The sequence below is a fragment of the Homo sapiens genome, chromosome 14 (genome assembly GCF_000001405.40).
Source record: "Homo sapiens chromosome 14, GRCh38.p14 Primary Assembly".
NCBI lineage: Eukaryota > Metazoa > Chordata > Mammalia > Primates > Hominidae > Homo > Homo sapiens.
The window spans coordinates 25,602,979-25,609,991 of record NC_000014.9 but is presented as its reverse complement, the minus strand read 5'-3'; the positions used below and the strand labels follow the sequence as shown (position 1 = coordinate 25,609,991).

At 38.9% G+C, this 7,013-nt stretch overlaps 1 annotated feature.

Moving 5' to 3' along the window:
* Window positions 2,085-3,015: an enhancer, noted in NCBI's record as "OCT4-NANOG-H3K4me1 hESC enhancer chr14:26076183-26077113 (GRCh37/hg19 assembly coordinates)". NCBI's record gives its function as "activates a minimal SCP1, AML or CMV promoter by ChIP-STARR-seq in naive and primed H9 embryonic stem cells {active_cell/tissue: H9 hESC(naive and primed)}" and the evidence as "EXISTENCE:reporter gene assay evidence [ECO:0000049][PMID:30033119]".

The window sequence follows — 7,013 nt, the reverse complement described above, 5'->3', positions numbered from 1 at the left end:
TAATTACCCAGTATCAGGTAGTATTCTTTACACAGCGTGAGAACGGACTAATATACCACTCTTTTCTTTCTTTACCACCTTTCTCCATGTTCTTCAATGGCAGTTCTGATTCTTCTGGCCCCAAAATAGCCACTATTCAGTAGTCTATCTTAAATTAGTTTCTTATATTGCCATATATATTTTTCTTGCTTGATCTTGCATTCATTTATTACCTCTTAGATTGTGGTTTCCAAATCTAATATCACTGACACAGTCTCTCTCTGTGTGCCCAACAGTATCTCTCCCTAAATGTCCCACAGAAACGTTTCCAGTGAACACACCGTCTTCCCCCACAACTGCCCCTTGTCTGCATTCACTTCCTTTCTCATTGAATGACACCATCATTCACTCAACCCCCTTGCCAAAAGCTGGGAAGTCAATTCAGAATATGATGAACAAAGAGCCATAATAAACTTTTGGATTCACAGTTCTAGTTTAAAGAGAAATAGTACAATCAGCTGAACAAGAGCAAACTGTCCCTTCACTGCATGCTTTACAGCCTCCTTCTAGTAACTATTTCTTTGACCCAAAAGAAAATGATCTAGTTAATTTCTAGATTAGTCTGTGGAGGAGAGGGTTTCAAAGAAAATTTCCATGCCCTTGGATGTTCATCATGTTCATCCATTAGCTGACAGTTCAGCACAGGTTCTCTCCAGCCCCATCATTTCTTACCGGGCTATTGAAATAACTTCTTAATTGGATTCCTGGCTCCAATCTCCAAATATTCAATTTAGACCCCCTCCCCCACATTGCTGCAAAGTATTCTTTCTTGAAAAGGTAGCAATGACTTAAAATTGTATATGATGTCCTCCCATGACAGGATTTCCCATAGCCGCTCATGCCATGCCTTCTCCCTACATTGTTCTCAAAATTTGATTTGCTCACCTGCCTTCCAGCGTTTGCTTCATTCACTTCTTTGGCCTACAATGCACTCTTTATTCCATTCCTGCTCACCAAGGAAAATTTCCGGTCATTCTTCTAGTCTCAGACAAAGCATTCTCTTCAGTGAAAATTTTCTGACATCTTTTCCCACTCCAGTCTTAGTATAATGTATTTTATGTCCTCTGTATCTTTGTCAGTATTGTCTTATATGCTCTATCACCTATAAAATCTGTTTTTGTGCTTTATTTGATGAAATGTCTATGCTTCATATAATTTTTATATTCAGTGCTCAGCACAGAATTTCTTAACCTTGGCACTACTGACATTTTGGACCAGATAATTCTTGTGAGGGGCTCTCCTGTGTCTTGTTGCATGTAGCATCCTTGGCTTCTATCTCTAAGTATTACCTCCTTTACCTCAGCGTGACAATCAAAAATTGCCAATGTCTCCTTGTGAGCAAAAATCAACCTGGTTGAAAACCACTGGCCTAGTACAAACATATCTGTGCACAAAAAAGTACTTGAAATTAATAAGAATATATATTGGTTTTTAGGTGTGACAAGCAATGGCAGGAAAGAGTAGAACTTACCATATCATCCCATCATTACCCTCTAGCAGAGAGGGAGTCAATGTGTAGACAGTGGTCCCAGGTAGAAAGACTGCAATGCGGGAGCCTGCAGTAAAAGAAGAAAGGGCTCCATGTGAAGTCAAAGCAATGCAGAAACATGAACGTTTTCTCTCTACAACAGAAGTCCAAGTTAGTAAGTAGTGGAGCTGAGCTTTGAACCCTGATCTTTATGCTTAATAAAGACATTGGTCTTTTGCTTTAGGCAGAGGAGTATATGTATTCCCCAACGTACACATGATCACAGCTGGACAATCTGAAGACATACACAAAATGGGGCAGGAATGTACTCCAGTGATTTCACCTAATATGCAAATAGATTTCAGTGGTTCATAAAAGTGAAAAATGGTTTAGTATTTCCCCAAAATTGATTGCTGCCCTTTTGGAGACCTGAGAAGGCATGCTGAACACTCCGCTTTAATAGACTAAAATGAGGTGGAAACTCTTCCCTTCCTGGGTCTGGATTTGGTCACCAAGATTTGGAAGACACATGCAAAAACAGCCACAGAAAGATTTGGATTTAAATGAGCAGGGTTTTTAGAACAGGTCAAATATATATTTTTTTGCAGTGAAATACAGAACATGTAAGCATCATAATGGAAATGCAGAAATCATAAATAGCAAAGCTAATGCCAACACAGCAGCAGTACAAAAGATCAGCAAAGAGCCATAACTGAATGTTAAAAATAAAATAGGTTCTGAAGAGACACACTGAATATAGGAATTTTTTGTTTTGTTTTTTAAAGCCAGTGTAACAAATGATGGTAATAGTAACTGTGGCAGGCTGTGCAAAAGCTGGGTATCTCAAAAAATGATTCTCTCTTCCCTAGCAAAAATAATATTAAAATGAAACTGGGATATTTATTTGCCTTTTTAACACAGCAGGGATCACTTACAGCAAATAAGCCTAACAATGGTCCAATGCAAGAACCACTGATGCTGCTAACAACTGACCATTGTCATTATCCACACAATGCATTAAATGCCCAAGCCATGCCTAACAACAGTCTCTACCTCTGCCTTCTGCTTTCTGCCTTCAAAGTGCTGTTTATTTTTTCCTATAAAACCTTAAAAGACGTCGTTCAACAGAAAGGGAGCTCCTCAAAAATTCTTTCTCTCTGTTTTACCTCACCCTACGCTGACCCCCAATGGCAGAAAGAGAGTAAGTAGACTCAAAATGCAGCATGAAGATTAAGCTCCAGGCATGAATTAATTTACCAAATGAGACCATTATTTTTTTTAGTACTTCCATTGTGTCAAGAATTTGTATCAGGTTCTGTGAAAGAAAAAATATTAATAAAATAAATAGAGAATCCAAATTAAGCATTTTTTCCTTGAGAAATGTGAAAGAGGGCGACAGGCCCATGTTTACAAAGGAGACTGCTTAAATCAGAGAGCAGAGGCAAAGCAAGTCCCTGAATCTTCAAGGGGCTCAATCAATGAAGGCTTTCAAGAAGAATGTTTTATTGTGAAAGGGCGTGTGACAGACACTTAAAAGTGGAACAAACCCTTATCAGTCTGAGAGAAAATTAGATTTAACAGCACTTGAAATCAGAGGGGTGAATTACAGGGCATTAATATCACTGTACCTGCAGCCTTGAGCAAGTGGCTCAATGTCTCTGAACCTCATTTTTCTTATTTATGAAACACTGCAACACTAATTCCTTCTTCATAGATTGGTTGTGAAGTTTAAGTAAGATAACGCACCTTGTATGTGCAAAAGCAATATCACTATTTTTGCAATGACTTCCAGAACAATGAAGTTAAAATTATTGGGTGAAAGAAGATGCACCAAATTGATTGAAAATGATTTTCTCTTAACAATAAGATTAGCGTGGCCGGGCGCGGTGGCTCACGCCTGTAATCCCAGCGCTTTGGGAGGCCGAGGCGGGCAGATCACAAGGTCAGGAGATGGAGACCATCCTGGCTAACACGGTGAAACCCCGTCTCTACTAAAAATACAAAAAAAAATTTAGCCGGGCGTGGTGGTGGGTGCCTGTGGTCCCAGCTACTCCGGAGGCTGAGGCAGGAGAATGGCGTGAACCCGGGAGGCGGAGCTTGCAGTGAGCCGAGATCGCGCCACTGCACTCCAGCCTGGGCGATTGAGCGAGACTCTGTCTCAAAAAAAAAAAAAAAAAAAAAAGATTACAGCTAAACTGCTTTACTACTTTTCTACATTTTCTATAATGAACATTATTATTTATAATCACTAAAACATCAGCATTTTAAAAATATTTTAAATTTAAATTTATTGAATGAAAATAAATGTAAATACATCTCACACAATCAAGTGGCTTTGAAATGTACAAATCCTTGATCTATATTGAATACTTAAATTGTGCTAGACATTGTATTAGGCTACATCCAGACATGAATAAGCATGTTCCTGGTCCTCAGGGGATTAGTCTTGTGAATAAATGTGCCCTCTCCTCCATCTCTTGACAAAAGAAATGCAGATAAACTGCTGCTACATAGATAGACATTTATGAAAAGAGTACCAATGTCCAACAGTTAAAGGTTCAGGATTGGGAATTAAATTATGTGAGTTCAAATCTTAGTTCATATCACCAAATATTAATTGACTGCCTACTATGTGCTGGGCATTTTCTAGGCACAGGGAATACAGCAGTGTACAAACAAGTGTGTAGCCTTGGATATGGTTTTAATCTTTCTGCTCTTTTTTTCTTACCTTTCCAAGTAGCAGTTGAGATAAGATATAAAGTATCCAGTACAGAGGACCCTCAACTAATGATGGTTTGACTTAGGTTTTTCAGCTTTACAGTGGTGCAAAAGTGATGTACATTTAGTTGTAATTGTACCTCAAATTTTGAATTCAGATCTTTTCCTGGGCTAATGACATGTGGTACAATACTCTCTCATGAGTCTGACGAGCAGAATGAACCACAGTTCCATCAGTGACAACAGTAAACAACTGATATTCTACAGTATACATTGTTGACAGCAGTTTTTGGATATTGTCTTTTGTGTTTTCCCATCCCATGATGTCTACAAAATGTCCATCTGTGTACAGTATTCAGTGCTTTATTAAAATAGACTTCGTGTTAGATGATTTGCCTAACCGTAGGCCAATGCAAGTGTACTGAGCACATTTAAATTAGGCCAGGCTAAGCTATCATGTTTGGCAGGTGAGGTGTATTGCATACATTTTTGACTTAAGATATTTTCAATTTACATTGTGTTTATCAAGATGTAACCCCATCATAAGTCAAGAAACATCTGTAGGAAGCAAGTACACAGCACCCTTCTGCACTGAATCTTTCCCACCAGTATTCAAATATATTATTAAATTTCCTATTTTCACAATGATAATAATAAAATGTCCTTTATTCCACATCCTTTTCATTTACCAACTCATTTTTCGCGTACTGTTTATTGGCTACGATTCTTTATTGATTAGAATTGTCCCTACTTAGTGTCTTCAATTCCTCCCCTGCCCTTTTTTGAACTTACTCCAAACAAGATTTGGTCTGGAAACTTGGATCAAAGATTGTCCATAGGGCCTCAGACAGCAGATACTATGCCTCTGTATAAATTAGAAAATTGTCCTCCTCTGGATGGATGAATTACAAATAGCTGTGCTCTCTGAATAGCTGTAGCAGGACGCAGGGAGCACATGACCACCACTTACCCATTTAGCTGGTTATCTTCATACAAGGTATAACCTGCACAACCACTGTGGTCCTGCTTCTCATCATCATGAATGGCCTCCAGGTAGTTAAAGCTAATGGTCAACTTTCAGTCCCTATTTAACCTGCATATCAGCAACATGTGCCAAAGTTTATCACTGTATCCTCTTTGAAGCACCTTCTTTTCAACACAGTCCCTTTCTTTTCCTTTTTCTCCTGGCTGGTTCCTCTTTATCTCCTAGACCTCTTAACACTACTAAAGACTACTAAAGTGGCTTCAAAACCTAGGTCTTGGGTAAGTATAGTATATTTTCTATCTAAAATAATCCCCTTATAGAATGATCTAATATCATGACTTTTAAATCAATCATATGCTGACAGTGTCCAAATACGTATCTCCAGTTAGGACCTCTCCTACGAATTCCAACTCCTGTATTCAACTGCCTCTCAGTGGTTGTGTAATAGGCATCGCAAAGTTAACAAGCTCAAGACTGAATTTCTAATCCCTTCCCTACCCTCAACATGGTCTTTCCATTGTTCTTATTATTCAGGCCAATTCCTCCAAATTCCTTCTGTTTCTCATGCTCCACATCCATAGATCAATATATTCACCAGCCCTACTTTCAAATATTGAAGAATTCAATAGTTACCAGCTCCAGTACTCATAGTTGATCTAAACCACCACCATATCCAACTATTATTTCAATTGCTTTCTAACTGTTGAATCAGCTTCTGTCCTGGATTCTGTTCTATTTTCCACACAAGTCAGAATGATCCTGTTAAAATTTAAGTCACATTATGTCACTTCAAAACCTTCCAGAGTTTCTATCTAACCCTTAGAAAAAGCCAATGATCATGATTTCACACAAGCCTCTTACTGTATCTGCCCTGTGTTTCTGAAGCTGCTCCTATGAACTTTATAAAATTAATCAGGGGGAAGAGGAGGGTAAAAAATAAAAACAAACCAAGCTTGCAGCACACTGAGCATTAATCACAAGGTCAGCCTGGTCTCTGGCCTGCTTCCTCATAGTTGTCTGGTGCCTAGAGTCAGGTAGACCTTAAATTACAATTACCCTTAACTACTCTATAGATAACAACTTAAACATTATGAAACATTAAGCTTCCCTTTTGAGATATTCCTTCAGGTCCTGAATATTGATGAAAGTACTGACTCAGCTGGTCTGAAGGACCCCACGAATGCCAGCTGGTCTCAGAAACCCCACAAGAAACTGACTCACCAAAGAACACAGTTTCCATATCCTGATGATTTCACTCCCCTTACCCCAACCAATCAACAACCATAATTTTCCAAACCCTCACCCACCATGATCCTCTTAAAAATCCCAGCCCAGAATTCCTCAAGGAGATGGATTTGAGAGTCTCCTTCCATCTGCTTGCTCGGCAGCCTGTCATCTTTAAAGGTTCTCTGTTGCAAACACTGCTGTCTCAGTGTAATGTGCTGTTACTGTGGAGCAGGTATACTAATCCATTGGTCCTGTAACTTTGCCTTTGGCCTCACTCTCCACATCCTACACCTAACACACACATAGTGTTCATTCTGCTCCTGTCACATTTGCTCATTTATTGTTCCTTGAGAAGATCAAGCACACACAATCTACCTCAGGGACTTTCTACTTGCTGTTCCTGCCTCCTGAAATGTTTCTTCCCCACAAGAAAGCCCTCTTGTTTACTCCTTTACTTTCTTCAGATGTCACTTCTCAGGGATGGCTTCCATGACTACCATATTTAAAACTGTAACCTTCCATTTTCCTTCCCAGTCTTCTCAATAATATAAAATATATTGTACTTATAACTAGAAC